Here is a 20,693-nt window from a genome sequence, read left to right as displayed (position 1 = left end):
ATGCTGATTACTACTGGTTAGGGAGATCACTTTTGTGATAACTGGAATTTCTTATTTTAAATATTAAACTCAATAAATTTATTTATTGAGGTAGTTTTTGTTCTAAAAATATTATATAATGTTCTGAAAACAGTGAAATTGTTATTACTTATGAACGGTAATTGTTATAATGGCTCATAACTCAATAACTGTTATGTTTCCTTTTTTTCTCAGCTCAGGGCAAAATGGAAGTGGCATCATTCACTATTTCCTCTAGTGATCCACAATCCAAATTTCTAAGTTTCTGTTTCCTGTCCCTATGACCTTATCCTCTGCTGGCCTAGAGATCTTAGTTACAAAGGGAGGAATGCTTCTATGTTGATTGAGACACAATGATGCCATTGAACTGGAAGTTAAGACTGCCACCTGGCCACTTTGAGCTCCTCACGCATCTGAATTAGCCATCAGGGAAAAGAGTCACTGTTCCAGCTTAGCATGATTGATCCTGACTACCAAGGGGGAATTGGAATAGCACTCCCCAATGGAGGTAAGAAAGAGTGCATCTGTAGGAGATCTTTAGGGCGCCTATTAGCATACCATTCCCTGTGATTAAGATCAATGGAAAACTAGAGCAACCTCATCCAGGCAGGGCTTAGGTCACTCCACCTGGTAAAGAAACACAATCAGCAGAGATGCTTGCTGAAGGCAAAGAGAATACAAAATTGGCAGTGGAAGAAGGTAGTTATAAACACCAGCTATGCCCATGTGAACAGTTACAAAAATGAGGACTGTCATTGTCATACATATTCCTTGTTTTTTTTTATCAATATGTTCATGTGTATAGAAAATATCTTTGTTTTCTTCCTTCTCTTATTTCCTCATCATGTAACATAAGGTATGTTGACTTCATATTCTAATATTTAAGTATTATTAATATTACATTATCCTGAAGAAGAGTAAACATTAATCAAGAACTCTACTTCCTCTTCTGGGGAAGGGTTTAGTACATTTTCAACTGTACACAGGATAGCTGTATCATATTAGGAAAAATTATGAACTTCTTATTTCCTTCATTTGGAGATTAAGTATGACTTAAGGAGTTGCATATGGGTGCCAAGTTGACAAAGGGTGGACTTGTAAAGGTTACTTTTTTGTGTCAAACTGAAAGGGTCATGGAGTGCCTAGATACTTGGTTAAACACTATTCTGGGAATGTCTGTGAGGGTGTTTCTAGATGAGATTAACATTTGAATCGGTAGACTGAGAAAAGCAAATTCCGCCCCCCAATATGGGTGGACCTTATCCAAAGGACTGAGTAAGAGAGAATTCACTTTTTCTGCCTAGACTCTATTTGAGCCTCGACATCAGTTTTCTCCTGTATTCAAACTCAGGTTAAAACTGTAACTTAAACCATCAGCTCTCCTTATTCTCAGGCCTTTGGACTCAGACTGAAACCACTACACCATTGGTTCTCCTGGGTCTCAGCTTGCTAAATGGAGATCTTGGGACTTATTCTTTTTTATAAATATGTAAACCAATTTCCTATAATAAAGCAATCTCTCTCTCGCTCTTATATATACATACATATATATATATAATCTCATATATAAGATATATATATGCATATCCTATTAGTTATGGTTCTCTGAAGACCCAGAGGGATTCAGTACAAGAGCTCTAATTCATGGTATTAGGACTATGGCCTTTATGTGCCTGTGTAGTTGCACATAAAATTACGTTTTCTAGGTGAATTACTTTTTAGTACTTAGATTCTGAGAACTTTGAAATAAAGAAAACTTTACATTTCTTCTAGGTAGGGTAATTTTTAGATATTATAGCAGGTAAATATCTAATTACTAATGGCATATCTCATTTGTTCTTCACAATAACTTATGGGTAGAATTCCTCCCTTAGCAAAATTATGAATTAAATGACTTTTTTCTTTAGTGACTTTTAGGCAAATGCTTCTCAGGTTTGGGCTTGATAATTTTTTAAAAATTCATGCCATCCTATGCTGCCATTGAGTATTATTTGAATAAATAATTAAAATTATAACTAAACCAAGCTAAATAAAGGTTAAATTTGATACATGTATTTCAATATGCATATTTATTTCCCTTATTCCTCACCCCAGCTATGACATACTATCATAGTTTGTCTTCAATTTGGGGTTCTGGAATTCTGTTTTTCTTACATTGGTCAAAACTCTGTGTCAGAAAATTATCCAGTATCAACCATTTCATATGGATTAAAGTAAATGTGATGTTTTATCCCAATAGGCTATTTATTTCAAAACTGATCACTTGTGATAAACTATGTGGCAAGATAGTTTATAATACTTTGCTTCAAAGAATGGTACAGCTTGTCTATTTTCAGAAAAAGGAAGATAATTGAAGAGATTCCATGTAATATTCTAGTAAATGACTGCATTTAAAAGGAATAAACTATTTCTTAAAGGTCAATACCTTTTATGTATTTATTTATTTTACTTTATTTTTAACTGTGGTAAATTACACTTTAACTACTTTTAAATGTACAGTTCAATAGTTTCAAGTGTATTCCCATTGTTGTGAAAAAAAAATTTCCAGAACTTTTCTATCTTGCAAAACTGAAACTCTATACCCATTAAATAATCCTCCATTTCCTCCTCCCACAATCCTCTGGCATCCACCATTTGACTGTCTCTCTCTACATATTTTACTACTTTGGATACCTCATATAAGTGGAATGATGCAGTATTTGTCTTTCTCATTTTTAAACTTCTTTTAACTTTCACCAGTAACCAGCTTCAGTGCTCAACCAAATGCACTAACTTAAGGCTTTTCCTTGTAAGGTTTAAATCTGTGAAAAGCAAATTGGATCTTGGTGCAGGTATATTCTGAGCTTTTGTATCTTGGCAGGGCCAGGATTTAATTTATAGTAGCAATAAGCCTGTTGAGCTAACCTTTACCTTAACTCCTAATTTGGAGAATTATCAGGCAAAGAATCCACTGAAGAGCCTAAATCTGCTCTGAAAAAAATAACAGAGAAAGAAAAAAAAAGGGGGATGAAGAGTAGGAGAAGAAAAGGGAGAGAGAAAGAGAGAGAAGATGGGAGGCACAGACACACTCATTATAAGATTGTAGAAATGGGGTATGGGTGGGGAAAAGTAGTTATTGTTCAGCTACTTGATATAAGTTTAGAAGTTCATTTCTTCATTTGATGAGAAAACACTTTACCTCTAGAAGTTACTTATAAAATCTTGTTATTGCATTACAATACAGTGGGTTTTTTTGGTTTTTTGTTTGTTTGTTTGTTTTTGCCTATCTGAAAATATTGTTCATCTTTGATAGACCTCAAAAGCTGATAAAGTGATTTATAGATATGGACACAAAATGTGGGTCTCCACATAGTGGCACTCAATACTGGAAAACCAAGTGAGATGTATTAATATTTGGAACATTTCCTTAAAAGTACTTTTCATATACTTCCAGAAATTTTTAAAAATTGACTATTTTAACTCTGGAAAATGTTATGGTAAAAACTACTACCTCATGTAGCTGACTGAAGGCACAGTCTTCTGAATTAAACCCAAGTACTACTCATTTTTTGGTTCAACTATTTATGACTGACCTTGTTCATATACGTTAAAAGGAAACAGAAGATATGAGGCCAATATAGTTGAAAGATATTTAATATTTTTTAACAACATACACATTCACACACACAAATTAACAGAATAATATCTAAAATATGAGAAGCTTTCCAAGACTTTTGCTTACAAAGTATCATTATATCCTCAAAGGTATGAACACTTTCATTTTTGTTTACCAGCTCTCAATAAATATGATGAAAGATAACATTATGAAATATTCTATCATGAGTGAAAAATGAAGGAGTGTTTGAATAAATAAAGCAAATGAACAAATGACTAAAAAAATGGGAGGAACTAATTTCTTTCCTGTTGTTTCACTTTAAATTTACCTTTGGGACTATTTGCTACAAAGAGTAGGAGCCGTCTTGCTGAACGATCTTATTATGAGTAGGGTTTGAATTCTGACTTTATGATTGAAAAGCTGGGTAAGCCTACGAGGGCATCCAGTACGTGGCAAATTGGTCATTATTATACAAGCAAAGAGCAATACTATAAGAAGTGAAAAAAGTCTTCAAAATATGTAACTATCCCAGATATGTTTATAAGTTTCTCTTTTTATCTCTCTGTATGATTTCTTACCACCTTGTTAATGGTGCTTATTAGTCACATCCTTAAAATGAAAACAGAGCTATGATTATATTTTTATAAATAATAAAATCCATAGAAAGAAAGTAATTAGGCAAAGAATCTACTACCTACCATCACAACCTAACGAAGAAGAGCAGACTGTATTCCTGGAAAGGGTATAAAGAAGATGAGAGTGTCGAGAGCCAGTGGGAGCTAAGAAGGGACATTGGGAATTTACACTGCAGGAAGCCTGCACAGTAACCGAAACATGGCAACACTCATCTCGTTGCCTGTTTGCCTGGCACCTCCTCTTAGGGAAGGTTATGGTTTTCTGCCGCCATGATTGATGCACAGAATCACAGACGTGTCACAGCATTAAGGAGCTACATGACTACAAAGACATGCTGCTTTAAAGTGAGCCTTATCTGAGCTTAAATATAGAGCACAGCTGTCAAACCACACAGGGCTTTCTTCCAATCTGATATCATTAAAATGATTTTGTGAACTGATTGTAATTTGAAACGATAGGGTTGCTATTACTAGAGAAGATGGGTCAACTCTGGGTCAAAGCTGAACATCATTGATTGCCTACTATTAAATGTGGTTTATTTTAATGATGTTATAGTAAAGAAGTTGTTGGTTATTTTAAGTATTTGATTGCCTACAAAGTTACTCCTAGAATTCAAAGAATTGTTATAGAATAAAGGATATATACAACATGAATGACATTATAAACCAAAAGGTCAAAAGTTATAGCAAAACTGCATCTTACCATCAAATAAAGTTTAACAAAGCAAAATGTACTAGCCAGTCTTTCCCTTTAGGGCTAGTTGAGTTGATTCTCTGCAGCATACGTTAAGCATTCCTCCACATAATTTTCAAACAAAATATTTGAGTTATAAAGAACAGAAAGATCCCAACTACAAGCCTTGTGTGACTTTTCTTTTACATGTATCTGACAGAACGATAATTTTCTAGCAAAAACATAAAGTAACATGGTTTAAGGAAGGCAACATTGAGTGGTTTGGGGTCTGCAGGACTCTCCATATGAGCCTGACTATCAATTTTTTAAAAAAATCTACTTTCTATGTAAAAATGTTAATCATTCTGACAAATGAAGTGAGAAACTAGTGTCAGAATAATTTGCCTTCGTAGAAAGTCACAAAATGTAGGTAACATCGACAAACAAAAGAACAATATTCTTTTTTTCTCTGTTAATCACAGAATGTATCCAATTATTTAAAACAAAGCTCAACCGTTAGTAGGTACTCAATAAATATCACATAAATAACAAGATTGTAGCAGCTGTACCATTTGTGTGAATATACTTCTACAATACCCAAGGTAGATTTTATCCAGAACAAATATAAAACTTTCGAAAGTTATCTGATGGCCTCTGAACTAGTCACATAGGATAAACCCATTATTAATAAAATCACTGGACTTCTTGATTGGTTGGAATACTCTCTTATTATAATTGCCAGGAAATGAGATTCTTCTGAGCTGAAATCCAACCTCTTTGTAATAAATTAACAAGTGAAAAAATAGATCCCAGAGGAAAAACATATAGTTATTCAATATAATCTTTTATAATTCAATGGAAATAATTTATTGTCTTTTATGTTGTCTATTTTAGTTGATAGTTTAATTAGAAGATTAGTTTTAAGAAACAAGGTGACGGGCACTACAGTGATCACAGTTTATTAAAGACTTGTGTTAATTGGATTTCAATGGTGAATTCTATGTAGGAACAGAAATAAAAAATGGTGAACAACAGAATTTTAATATAGCTTAGCAATTTTTCCTCATTCTCATAGTGGAATCAGAAATGAAATTAAAAACTACAAATGAAGTATAATTTATACTAAGTCATCACGTCAATATAAAAATATAACAACATTATATGTATCGACTATGTCAAGAAGAAACTGCACTTCCCTCAGCTTGGTATTTCTGCATAGTTGAGGGCAATTGTGGAGAATCACTAATCCAATCCGCTGCTGGATGGAGACCTGATATAGGGCAATTGCAAAAAGGTAAGAAGAAGAAATACTTTATACACATACTGAGCCACAACCTCTAATATCACTGCTTAGAAAGAAGAGAAACAGACAGACCAACTTAGAGCATGGCTGCAGGCATGGGGTAACTTTGTGATCAAAGGAGTCTGGCAGGCTTTGTGACTATGAGGCAGGGATTCAAGCAGAGCTGAGTTTTACAAATAGCAGCAGCAGCAGCCATAGAGCAAAGTACAGTTTTAACATGTGTATTATGTGGAAATGACCAGTGGCCACTTCTGTCCTTTTTGTCACATAGTCTATATGGATACCAATTGCTATAGAAGTGTAATTCTTCATAGAAAGATCTAAGATTTTATATGATCATTCTTCATTGTGAAAACTTGTGAAGTCAGTGAGGACACATCAGCTAGCAGTGGTAGTAACAGTATATCTATTTAAACTTGACTGAGTATAGTAACATTAGATTTTCACAGCCTATGGAAATAGCAGACTTTCTTTTCATTTAGTTGAAAATGAAATGTAAAATATCTTAAAAACTAAAAATGTATGTAAATTACCTAAATCAGTACCTGAGTCATAGAAGTGCTAAATGATTTCTTATTCACACTATCAATAATAAATTCAATAAACTTTCATATATCTCAAGTTTATTGGGATTATAAAGTAACTTGTGCTGTCAAAGTGATTATAAAGTGATTTATAAAATAAGCTGTACTATCAAATTACAGTTATACATAAGGGTTGAACATGACAGATTCAGAATACAATAAAATATGTGGATCAATAATATAATGCTGTCTATGTGAAATTAAGGCTGTTATGGGTAAAACAGAACTCATCAGTTGGCTCATATAAGCAGTTTAGTAAAGAAACAACAAACCCTTTTCATGTTTTTTATTTATAGTCTTCCCCTGAGAAATGCCTGCCCATTGTTGGTCCTTCCATGTCCCACAGTTCCAAAGTTTCAATTCAAGGTGATGAAATGAAAATACAGCTTAGGTCCTTGATATCAGCTCTTAACTTTTTATTGTTCAATTCGTCTTCAAAATCCTGAAGAAACTGGTAACCAAGTTCTATGCTATGCTTTCTAATTAGAGGTCTACACAGTACATTAAACTCACATAAAATATATTTCAAAATAGTTTTCCTTTATAGATCTTTATCAATCATTCATTCATTTATTTACCCTTCAACTCATTCAATAAATATTTCTGAGTACAGACTACAGTATCCAGCACTATGCAAGGAAGAGGGACGCAGCATTGAGTGAAAGCAGGCAGGATCTCTACCCATATGGTGCTGACAGTTTTGTAGGTGAAGCAGAGGTTAGTGAAATCACCATACAAAAAATGTAAAGTTACAATGATAATAAGTACTAGGAAAGAGTGCTACATTGTGCTATGATATTGTATAAGAGGGAGCTAACTTAGGATACAGTCAAAAAAATACTTCTTTGTGAAATTCACCATTGAAATAGAGGCAAAGAGGAGGAATTATTTTTGAGTAAAGGTGGCCCTGTGTGCAAAGACTTTGAAACCTTTGAAACAAGAACGTGCAATACTCCAGGAACTCAAACTTTCTCCTGTCAATGTGCATAGAGTTCCCAGAATTAAGCAGAACATGGTGTGTGATAGAAACAGAAGCTTGGCCAAAATTTTTCATTCTCTAGTAAACCTGCTTGTACTGATCAATTTCAAGGTGCCAGAATCCTGTGACAAAATGTGTTCCACTGTATTGAATAATAATGTTGTAATGTCTAACTGATGCTATTGGTAAGATAGGGGCAATAGGTTAATTAAGAAAGAGTCAGCTTTTATTGACAAAGATCACAGCAATTAACAATGATACAAATCCATATACACGAATACAGTACACACCAGTTTAGGAAGGTTGTCATTGCTATAAAAATCTTGCAAATGTGCTGTTTACACTATTTGCTAAAGTATTCTCTAGGAGCCATTCTATATGTTAATCTTGTACTTATGTTTTATGATATATTCACAAATGTGTGTTCACTCAATGTCTCACTCAATTCAAAGTAAGTTAAAACTTTAAGACTCAACCACAATACACATCTATTAAAATGATACTTTTTCAAAAATATTACAGCCAACTAAAAAAGAGGCAGAGTAAAAAGAATAACTATATAATTACGTTCTCAGGGTCAATCTTTAGTGGTTATACAAATAAAACTATCCCATTCTTACTTCTAACAGGATATGATTTGCCAGTTGAGATATAAGCTAAAATATCTATTAAGGTAGATTCTGAAAACACACAGAACTAAGGTGTAGGCACCAAGCAATGAAACAGAACTTTGAATAGACAATAAATATGCTTTATTATTAATCATAGTGTATACCTCTACCTACCTAGGACCCCAAAATATTAATTTAGTTAAAGCATTTATAAAGGCTCATTGTCATTTAAGTTTGTAATTTTCCTTCCTAAATGATATCTGGAGCTATTTGCTGGACATAGTGACAAATAATTCATCTCTTTTCCAGATTCTTTACTGGCTGACAGACATAGAGAAAGCTTACTATGTTTTAGAATTTCTTTTGTCTTAAAATAATCGTATATATCCAAAAGAATTAAAAGGAGAGACTTGAATGAACTCACATGAATGAATATTTATACAACCATGCTTAGAGCAGCATTATTCATAACGGCCAAAAGGTGAAAGCCACACAGATGTCTATAGACAGATAAATGGTAAGTAAAATATGTTATAACACATACAATGAAATATTATTCAGCCTTAGAAGCAAGAGTATTCTGAAACATGCTACAGCATAAATGAACCTTGAAGATACTATGCTAAGTGAAATAAGCCAATTGCAAAGGACAAATACTACATGATTCCACTTGTATGAGGTATCCACAGTGAGTAAAGTACCTACAGTACCTTACATAAGAAAAAAAAAAATAGAATGGTCATTGTCTTGGATAAATTCATGGACATGGGATGTAGAATGGTGAATGTCAGGAGTTGAGGGGATGGGAGACTGAGGTATTATATATAATGGGTACAGAGCTTCAGTTCATTAAAATAAAAAGTCTCTAGAGAGGGATGGTAGTGATTGCTGCACAAAAATACAATTAATGTCACTCTACCACACATAGTTAAAATCATTAAACTAGAAAATTTTACATTATGTGTATTTTATTTCAATTAAAACCAAACATCTTTTCCCCACAACCTCCTTCAGCTCCACTTAATTTTTATAGCAAAACTTTCATTGATTTGCTTGTTCCTACTATCTCCAATTTCCTTCCTCTCTTGAACTGATTCAACTAGACTTTTAATCCTAATATTTTAACAATATTTTAATTCTTAAGGTAATCAAGATCTCTACAGTGCTGAATGCAACGATTATTTATCAGTCTTCATCATACTTGAAATGTCACTTGGTGACTATATATTCCAGGTTTCCTGAAAGAGTACCAGTTTGTATTTATAGTTTAGATGTAACTAATAGTGACCCCTTTCATTTTCAGAAGTGTACCAGATTGGATGATAATATGATTTGGATGTTTGTCTCCTCTAAATCTCATGTTAAAATGTGATTCCCAGTGTTGGCGGTGGACCTGGTGGGAGGTATTTGGATCATGGGGGCAGATTCTTCATGAACGGATTAGTGCCATCCCCTTGGTGATAAGTGTGTTCTCACTCTGGTAGTTTATGTGTGATCTAGTTGTTAAAGTGGGCTTAGAACCTCCTCCACTTCTCTCTTGCTCCCACTCTTGCCATGTGATGTGTTGGCTCCCTCTTCACCTTCTGCCATGATTGTAAGCTCCCTAAGGCCTGCCTAGAAGCTAAGGATATGTCAGCATTATGCTTCCTGTACAGCCTACAGAACAATGAGCCAAATTAAACCATTTTTCTTTGTAAATAACCCAGCCTCAGGTATGTGTTTATAGCAATACAGGAAGGACTAAAACAGACAATAAATCTTATGGTAAGCCAAACTCTCAGTATTCTACATATTTACTCACTTTATCCATATTTAAGTATGTTATTTACTTGACTTCTAAGACATCACGCTCCTGGTTTTTGTTTTAGAAAGCACACTCTTTACTGGATTCCTTCTTATTGCCACTGTTTTTTTTTTTTTAATTGACACATTGTAATTGTACATATTTATGGGATATGGCTTGATGTTTTAATACGTATATATGCTTTCTAATGATCAATTCAGGGTAATCCGGGTATCCATTACCTCATGAATTTATCATTTATTTGTAGTTTGGATATCCAAACTCTTTCCTACGTATTTCGTAACATACTATGACTTATTGTTAACCATAGTCACCCTACTGTGCAATAGAACACTAGAGTGTATTCTTCGTATCTAATTGTAACTTTGTACTCACCCTCTCTCCATCTTCCCCTCTCCTTTCCTCACAACCCACTATTTCTTAACTTTGAACTTCCCTAGAGTTTGCTTCTATCAAACCCTTGATGACTATACCCAGTCTTTCGACTTGAAAAATAGCTAAAATTTGATTACTCCTAAATTCATACCTCTAGCCTGGACACTTCTTAGCCTGCAATGTGTATTTCAGGGTTATGTGGAAAACTCCTCTGTGCTGTCTATAATCAGATGTCTAATGGATATCTCAAATTCAATAGGTTCAAATTCAAATACGAGCTCCTCATCTTCCTCATTGATTTCTCCATCTCAGTAAATGACAAATCCATTGTACTGGTTCAGATCCAAAACCTTATATGCTTTTTTTCTCTCTTGCCCCAAATCAACCTATCAGAAAGTTCTATAGATTCTGACTTCAAGATATATCCACAGTTAAACCATAGTTACTATCATTCACTATTACCACCTTGGACTGGGCATCCACCCTCTCAGATTATTGTAGCTGTTGTTTTGCTTATTTCTGTCCCCTCAACCCTTCCAACCCAATACAGTCTCTTATTAACGCAGTATCCAGAGGAATTCTGTGAAAGTATATGTCAGAATATGACATTAGCCTGCTGAAAAACTCTAGTTGTCTTCCCATTTTTCTCAGAGTAAAAGTCAAAATCCTCACAGTAGCCAACATGGCTTTTCATAATTTGGCCTTCCCTTATCCCTTGGAATGCACATTTTTCTGCTCTATTTTTTAAAGTATGATCTGGCAACACTGGGCTTTTGGTGTTCCTACAATATACCGAGCATGCTGCTATCTCAGAGCTTCTGTGCATGCTGTTTCCTTGAGCCACAATGCTCTTTACTCAAATACTTAATTATCTCAAAGTCTCATTTCATAAAGGTATTAACCAAAGAAATGCCCTTTTCAACCACTCTATTAATTTGCAATGCCACTACTCTACCTCAATGTCCTTTTTCTACTTAACTTTTCTGAAGCACTTATCACAATCTAATACACTCTATATTTTATTTAGTTTTATATCATAGAAATCATCTCACTGGATTATAAACCCATAGGTTCCATGAGAACAAGCATTTATGTCTGTTTTATTCATTAATATATCCTTTTTGCCTCAGTGCATTTAGTAGGTACTCAATAACATCAGTTGAGTGAATGAAGGAAAGATAATTTTTTAAAAAGTGAGAATAGTGCCAATAGTTGTTTGCTGATTAAGATCCAGAGATGATCACTTTTTATTAAGTGTCTACTTCTGCTAAGCACTGTATTAAAGATACAAAGAAGAATAAGCCAAGAGCCCTGCCTTCACTGAGTTCATATTCTATTGGAGATACAAACAAGTAAACTAATGGTTATGTTTTTTTCTGAAGTTTTGTCCATTTTTAATAATATCGTCATTTATATTATTGCTCATGTTATAAACACAGTAATTATTCTTGACTCCTCTTTTATGTTCAACTCCAAATCCAATCTATCAGTTCTTTCTTTCTTTTTTGGTTTGTTTGTTTGTTTGTTTTTTAACAGACAGGGTCTCACTCTGTCGCCCAGGCTATAGTGCAGTGGTGCAATCATAGCTCACTATAACCTCAAACTCCTGGGCTCAAGTGTGCCTCCCGTCTAAGCCTCCTGAGTTATTTTTATGTAATACATCTTCAAAATGGATCCTGGATCTAACTACTGCTCAACACCTCTACAGCAACTACCTTGGTACAAACCACAGTTATTTCAACTGGGGATTTTATTAGCCTCCTAACTGTTCTCTCCACTTAAACTCTTTCCTCTCTCAGGCATCCTTTAAAAAAAGTATTGTCTGCCATTCCCTGCTCAAGATCTCCCAAAGTTCTCCCATCTTGCTTAGAATGAAATCCAACCTCCTTACTCAGACTTACAAGATCCAACTCTCTCGCACCATCTTCTAGAACTTTTCTTTCCTCTTCTCCAAACACCAAGTCTTCTTGCCATTCCTACAACATGGTATACTTATGTCTCCCTTCCGGCTTTTGTGCCTGCTCTTTCTCAGTGTCTTCTCCTAGATCTTTGCTCCTTTATATTGTACAGGTCTCAACTGAATGCCACTTCCTCAGTAAGGGCCTCCATGACCTCCCTTCCTAAAATAACACTTAGATCTGTCAGTGTTCAAAATATACCATTCGTTGATTTCTTCATAGTACTTATTTCTTCCCTTATCCCCTTCTAGAATATGTCCTATCAGTATTTACCGATAGAATATGTCCTATCAAGTATTTACTGCCATACCTTAAGCACTAGAACTACATACCACTCACAGTTGTAGTATGAGTGGTATGTAGAAGGTTTTCAATGAATATGTGTTAATTGAATCAATAAATGGAATGCAATAAGTGCTATAATGAAAGTACTTTATACAACAACTGTTTCTGAATTCCTACTATGTACCAGACACTTTTTCAAAAACTGTGTTTACAAAAAGAATAAGATATAAATACTGTTCCTAGGAAAAATAGTCTATTTTGAGTTTCAGAAACATAAGGACCTTCCAGTAAAATATGATGCTGCAAAAAGTGCTACTAAAATAAATAAAATAGAATATTTCTGCCTAAGACAGAAATAATTTATGAAAGAAGTGGATTTTTTGTACTGTGCTGTGAAGGAATTTACAATGCAGTAAAGCCAGGGAAGGGTATTCTACATAATAGAGGCTACACAGCCCAAAGCATGGACCATATGAAAGGGCTTGCTACAAACATGGCACTAATGCTGTGTGAATTTAGCACATACTAGAATACCTTGAAGAATGACTTGAGATGAAGTTGGAAACCTGAGACTCACATTCCAAGAGTGTTATATGTTGTTTGCCAGGAAGCAACTGAGGCAAGAAGCACTGTTATAAAGCTATTGCATCAGGTAAAAGAGGAAAGGAAGAAGGAAAAACTGAAAAAAAGATATTAAGTACTCACTGCTAAGATAGATAAAAATAAGGACAATATTGAGAGTTTTTACAGAAGTAGCTCTTGTACTGATTTTTTATTTTTTAAATTTTTATTCAATTAAAAAAAACTGGACTCAGAAATTAACTACATAGGGGTTATGAGGAATAGTGAAAGGGAGAGGATTCCAAAGGTTTTATATTGAGGACCAAGTAAACAGTGATGCCCTTCATACACACAAACACACACACACACACACACACACAATTATACACGAGAAAGCACATTAGTAGCAGTGGAGTAGGCAGTGGGAAATAATATAATTTTTCATTTTCAATGTCTTGAGTTTGAGATTTTTTCAGGACATCCAAGTGGTGTATCATCTTAGAAGGAGCTGTGATATGCTCTGTAGTTTCAAAGAAATATCCCTGCAGGAAATATATGACACTCTTCAAAGGGGACTGAAGTGAAATACTGCATGTAAAGCTATCAAAAACATTAACCTCACAATATTCTGACAGAATAGAATCATCAAAATGCTGGGGATAGAAGGAAGCCAGATTGTAATAAATTAACACATGAATTGACAGTGAAGAATAGAGATAGTGAAAGTAGACTGCTTTTTTTCAAAGAGATTTGCAGTGAAATTAGGGAGGGAAAGTGACATAGCCTGAGCAGGAGGCAGGGATGCTAAAGTATTAGAGGAAATAATCCATTTAGCAGTAGAAGCACAGGAGGCTGACAGAGAAATAGAGAACAAGATGAAGAAGATAAATAAAAGACATATTAGAAAAAATGAAAGATTTTTTTCAGAAACTGATGACGCCAATTGCTACCTTTTTGTTTCTGTTATATCCTGAGTAGAAATAGGAAGACACATACCACATCAACCTATTGTCTCAAAGGAGGTGAATGTATATTATTTGGGAATACCTGAATGCTCTGTATTCTCCAATTCCTAATAACTGCCTTCAGCAAAGCAAGAAGAAAAGGATAGAAATGTATTATCGTATATAGGTAAGGGATACAGTGAGAATACATGCCAGAAAATCATTTTCTCTTAATCTAATAAAAAAAAGACAATTTTCAAGCTGTCATGTGCTCAGACATTCAACAAGATTCAGTACTCTTCATAGTCATGACAAACTTTTCCCAATATAATCAACTGGCCATCAATGTTTCTTCTGATTATTTTGCTCATGCCAATAAAATGTTATTATATATTTCTTTTCTAAAAACAGCTTCCCTCTTTCACATTTGCTTAAAATTGTACTTAATACAACCTGTTTTATGCATCCATGACACTTTGAATGACCATACAGATATTGTGTCACATAGTCACTTAAAGTTCTGTCCAGAAAGCTATTGTTGTTCTCCTCTCCAATTTCCTAGAAAGCAGCTCAACTCATTTATCACAGAATCATTTAGAATCCCACCACCACATTCTGGCATCAAGCTGGTTGCCTACAGTTGATTTTCCTTTTTTTACTGCATGCTATATTTTGTATCCCTTGAATCTTGGCCACATGTACTTCTAGAATTCAGTTACTACTACACTAAATTGCCCAAATTATCACTATATAAAGCTCCAAAGTGTTTCCTTAATTTTAAAATAGTCCATGAATTCAATATATACATTTTCATGTGCTTAGTCAATATGCAAATGCAGAAGAACTGCCATTCTTAATCTATACCTACTTTCATTTAATGTTGATTGAAGTATCTTTATTGCTCAATATAATAAATGCCAGCTTCTATAATTCTTGATCTCAAATATAAAAAGAGATTTCAGGAAATGGTGGTAGAATATATAACTTATTGACACTCTTCTTTTGTGAACAATACTTATTTAGAAGTGTATATCAATATAAAGCTCTGCTGAGGATTAAAGATATACATTGCACTAAAAGATATATTCAACAAAAATTTAGAATGCCTGCCAAGTAGTCCTGTCCTCTGGGTCTTCCACTTTATCCCTACTGTCTTCTCTGATTAACATCTGCAATAACAGATTAAAGCAATGTCTTTCTTGTAAGCTTTCCTTGTCACCTCACAACTCCCTCTCCTCCACTCCCCTAACATACTGTTTTCCAGACTCTAACAAAGGGCACATGTGGCATTAAATTCACTTATCTATTACAACACTAACCCGTGGGCATCATGACCATTGACTGTGCAAAATTTTATCACTATGCTGTGCATGCTTAAGAATAAGAACAGGTGTTTTATATATGTTAACTTGCAAAAAGAAAGGAAGAAGGAAGAAAGAAGAAAAATAGGGAAAAGATCTATATTATAATTTAGGAGCACTTGATATGACTCTGACTTCTTCATAGGATTTTGCCTTTTTGTCAGCAGTAGAAAGTTGCCATTTAATCCAGGCCATTAAAAATAAAAAGTTATGGACAGCATTCTTTATAAGTACAGAAAATAAATGAGAAAATTCAGTGGGCTTACATTATGATTGCTCCAAGAGTCCTATTCTATTTGCAGAAGAGAGAATCCACATGTTGTGAGCAGAATGGCAATGACACTGCGTTTTATGAGGCTATTCAAAAAGCCACTATGGTTTATGTAGTGTAAAAGCTCTCAAGTTTTGTAGATTAACTCTACTACTTGATGCCATCTTCGCACCATCTTAAGTTACATTTTCTCTTTTAAATGATTCGACGGTTTAATTAATAAAATGTTTCTTGCAATATTTGGACCCATTATTATTAGTTTGACTTGTATTCTGGTACAAAACAAGTACAATTTTATTTTCTAGTATAAATATTTATATTGGAAAAAAATTCTGAATATTATTGGCTCATGTAGATGCACCTAAAGTTTTGATATCCCAAAATGAAATGTTTTCTCTTTGATAACAAAATAAATTTCAGTTTAAAAGCAAGATAGAAAAGGTACGATTTTAATGAAATCTTGGATGCCAGCCAGTGTGATTATTTTAGGAACCTATCTGTTTTTTTATAAGAGTTTTATCAAACTGCCTGCCAAATATTCATGATCTATCCCTAAGCATATCAGGAAGAGTTGTGCTTTTCTAGTTGAAGAGGCTGAACCTTATTAGTGATAAAAATTATCTCAACAACTGCACCAAAACATATGAAAGAAAAAGATTTCCTATTAACTTCCTTCGGCATGAGAAAATTATGTTGTTTATTAGGTACAGGAACTCCAAATACAATTGGTCCATTCTCTTCTGGAGTCAATCTCAACATATTCCTGCAAAGAGTCTGTAGATTTGATCATTTTTTCTACAGCTGTCTCCTTATCACCACCACCCTGAATCCTATTTTCCAACTTGCTTAGGTAGCACACAGTCCTGACATGTAATATTCCCTACCACACAGAGGCCTCTAGGAATTTGGGTTTTTCTCCCATTCTCATGTCTTTTCTCTTAGAATCTCATCTCATGTGATTTCTCTTAGAATCACACCTCTATGACTTTGCTTACATTATTCCATACACAAAGAAAACCCTTTTCTCCTCTCTTCTGGGTATGGAAATTTTACTCATTCATCAAAATTACTTTTCCAATTTCTATAAAAATCCTTTCTCAACATCAGCACCCTAATGTGATTTTTCTTTTCTATGAAGTCATCCATCAATTATGGTCTGCTTTACGTAGTTGACAATTAATAATGTACTACACATTTTTGGTCTTGAAATGATATATAAATTTTTATTGCTATTTTCATACTTTTATTTCTTATATTTTCAATCTAACTGTTATTATTTTGAGATTGGGGAGAGAGGTTTACTCTTCTTGAGCTCCTCCAGTTCTTCATTAACTATATACCTCTACCTCATTAAGCTCAATAAATATTCATGATTATTCTATAATAGATCTGTTAGAGATCCCTGGGCACTTTATTAAGTAGAAAAACTTTCCTTCAGGTTTACTCTAGCTTTATAAAGTAGGAAAAATAATTCCTGGCATTAAGTTGTAACTATAAGCGTTATAAGAAAAGTAAAATTATACAGTGTTATGTATGTTCAGTGGGAAGGAAATCATGCTGTTCTGGGACTCAGTATCAGACAGCATTTCAGACAGCATTGGCATTTAATCAAACAACTGAATGATGCATTGGATTGAGAAGCACAGCTATAAGGATCATGGAAACAATTTAGTGATACATTATCAAATTATCACAATAATCACATACTTCAAATAATATTGGGACATCTTTTTAGGAAACCTCATAAAAAACGGAAATGACACCAAGGGATTTGGATAGAACCATAGTGTAAACTAAATTGGATTGGATGATTTCATTGTATCTCTCTTTGAGGTGGGGTAATTTTCAATGCCAATATGCTGTATCTTGATAACTTAATTCTAAAATGAGCTTAGTAAACTAATTTTACATAAGAATCAGAAAACAGAAAGGAGAAACTAAACTTATTTAATATTACAATCTCTGAAATTCAAGCAGAAATATTGTTTTTAAAATTTAGGGTTTGCTAACTATAATGAGAATGGAAGATACTATCTTTTTATTGTCATGTTGTTACATACTATATAGCATGTACATAATTAGTACAGGCTTTCTGGATTTCTAGAAAGAAAGCGTTTACATAAAACTGTGATCAAGGTATCCACATTTCAAGGAACTCATTTTAAAACCACCTGTAATAAGAAACCTTAATTTTTTATCTTTGCTTTTGAAAATCATATGGCATGTCTGTAATCCCAGCACTTTGGGAAGCTAAGGTGGGCTGATCATGGGGTCAGCAGTTTGAGATCAGCCTGGCTAACATGGTGAAACCCCGTCTCTACTAAAAATACAAAAATCAGCTGGGCGTGGTGGCAGGCGCCTATAATCCCAGCTATTCAGTAGGCTGGGGCAAGAGATTTGCTTGAACCCAGGAGGCGGAGGTTGCAGTGAGCTGAGATTGCCGCACTGCACTCTAGCCTGGGTGACAGAGCAAGACTTCGTATAGGAAAAAAAAAAAAAAAAAAAAAAAAAAAAGAAATCACATGGCATTAGTTCATTGCTTTTATTTGCAAAATTATACTATTATTTCTGCTGTAATATATTTCCAAGAACTCTGGGTGGATAACAACATATCTTTGTATCAAAATTTAATTCTACTTTAAAAACACTTACATAAAAACTATACCCTCGATGTTCCAGACCAGACTTCTTACTCAGAACATTTCTTTCTAATGTATCATGTAGTTGCATGTATTTATGTTATATTTAATCAAACTACCTTGAAACATCAAAATAAACTCTTAAAATCTTTACTCATTTTATATTTTATGTGGCAACAACATTACCGAGAGTTGAAATCATCTGCAGTTCTCAAGAAAATTTGCATTTAGCCCCTAATAATTGTAGAATAATTGATATTACCTTTAATGAATTACACTTTTTAATACAGCTTTTAGTTAACATGTAATTTTTATGTAAGCAGATGATGTTTTTCTTTCTAACATTAATTGAACTTATAAAATAGAAAAGAAATTTTTGAAAACTGCAATAGAAATATATGTTAAAAAAATTAAAATACTTGCTCACTTTGTGGTAACTATCATAATTTGGTTTTTAGTCTTTTATTTTTTTAAAAGGAATACTAATTAATTCATAATTTGACAACAATTTCCAAAGGAATTTTTTAATAAACAGATACATATATTAGTTAAGCTACTCTGCTTAGAAGTCATATAAAGGAGAGAAAATATTACATTACCATGATTCAAGAAGGAAAGTAAGTTTAAAAATTTAATTCATGAAAATATTCTATGCCTATATCCAGAAACAAAATCATCAAACTGTTTCATATGTCATCTGATGATTTTGTCTTTATTGTCATATTCGTCACAATCTCAAATATATGTAAACAATCATTTCTTGGTTGGAATATAATTTTAAAAGTGCAGGAAGAAGAAACTTTAAACACTACTGACAGTATAGATCCATAACAGTTCCATTGTGACTAATTAGTACACTCCGACCTAGTAGGAACTTGTTGGCAGTGCTAAGCAACCAGGTCATACAGGGTAAGGCTGGAGGCTGCTGGCATGATTTGTTCACTGATGCTTGAAGTGATACCTGCATCAGAGAGGTTACTAAAGAGCTTACAGGCCTTGATCATTAGAGGAAGAAGGCAGAATGAGATGGTGCTGTGGCATTGTGCTTTACCTTGTAAGCATTTCTCTTGGAGAAGACTACACAGCTGAAACCCCCCATTAGTTGACATGCTCTCCATTCCCTTCATTCCTCCTGTGCCAACCCTGTTTTGTGGGCACATTGAAAGCACTATCCTTGCCTTATTCACAATATCATTTCATGGACCAGCTTGATACAGTGCCTAGAACATACTTTAAGTGTTCAACGAATGTGGAATTGAATTGCTGGTAAAATGAGCCCACTGGCATAACCTGCCCCCTCACAGATGCTCTGGCCAGCACTCACTTTATTCCTTGCCACACAATAGTTGGCTACTCCTGTATCAATCAATTACTGCAACTGACAGTAATTACTGTCAATTAAAGTATACTTCTGAAAACAAATCATTGAGAATTCCCGAATGCATTCCTGTTGTCCTTCCCTCCTAATCAAATTCAATTAACCAACACCCCTCCTGAGAGAAGAATCTTCAGGGGTTGGCAGAGCATCTGAAATAAGCCTAAGGTTTCTATTGGTATTCAGAAAAATAGCACGTAACTCTGGGCCCTAATGAAAGAATGAGAACCAGAGCTGTAAAGATAAGCAACAAAGAACAGAACATGAATGAATCTTAGAAAATAAAGGGAGCTCTGGTAACCTGAATAGTACTGGGAGACTCTGATTAATTAAATGCAATACTCACTTAAGAAACCATCACCCAAAAGACCTAGTGGTTTTTATGGCCCCGGAAGAGCTTCTAGACCATTGTTTCACCCATATTCCTAAGGCTAGAAATGCCCTAGCTTTGTAACTGAGAAAATCAGGTATCAGGCAGGATTACTCCTGGCTTCTGGCGGACAAAGATTTCATACCACCTGGTATTCTTTTAAAGCCAGAGACAGCCCACCAATTTCAGGGCTTAGCAACATAAAGCATTCCAACAATCAGACTGGTGTATGGTGAGGCAAAATAATGGCAGCAAAAGACAGGAATAATAAGTAAAAACACAAGTATTTGTATTTATTTTAAATGAAACAGACTTGCTAGAGAACTCAGATGCCAGCCTGAATAAACAACAA

At 34.2% G+C, this 20,693-nt stretch overlaps 1 protein-coding gene across 5 annotated transcripts in view, besides 2 other annotated features; it reads right to left on the bottom strand.

Moving 5' to 3' along the window:
• Positions 1-20,693, bottom strand: part of GRID2 (glutamate ionotropic receptor delta type subunit 2) — a 1,506,491-nt gene that overhangs the window by 1,289,280 nt on the left and 196,518 nt on the right. The gene's annotated exons all lie outside the window — the stretch shown is intronic.
• Positions 26-726: an enhancer, noted in NCBI's record as "OCT4-NANOG-H3K27ac hESC enhancer chr4:93441602-93442302 (GRCh37/hg19 assembly coordinates)". NCBI's record gives its function as "activates a minimal SCP1, AML or CMV promoter by ChIP-STARR-seq in naive and primed H9 embryonic stem cells {active_cell/tissue: H9 hESC(naive and primed)}" and the evidence as "EXISTENCE:reporter gene assay evidence [ECO:0000049][PMID:30033119]".
• Positions 727-1,428: an enhancer, noted in NCBI's record as "OCT4-NANOG-H3K27ac hESC enhancer chr4:93440900-93441601 (GRCh37/hg19 assembly coordinates)". NCBI's record gives its function as "activates a minimal SCP1, AML or CMV promoter by ChIP-STARR-seq in primed H9 embryonic stem cells {active_cell/tissue: H9 hESC(primed)}" and the evidence as "EXISTENCE:reporter gene assay evidence [ECO:0000049][PMID:30033119]".

Source organism: Homo sapiens, chromosome 4 (genome assembly GCF_000001405.40).
Source record: "Homo sapiens chromosome 4, GRCh38.p14 Primary Assembly".
Taxonomy (NCBI): Eukaryota; Metazoa; Chordata; class Mammalia; order Primates; family Hominidae; genus Homo; species Homo sapiens.
This window is presented reverse-complemented; position numbering and strand designations above follow the sequence as displayed.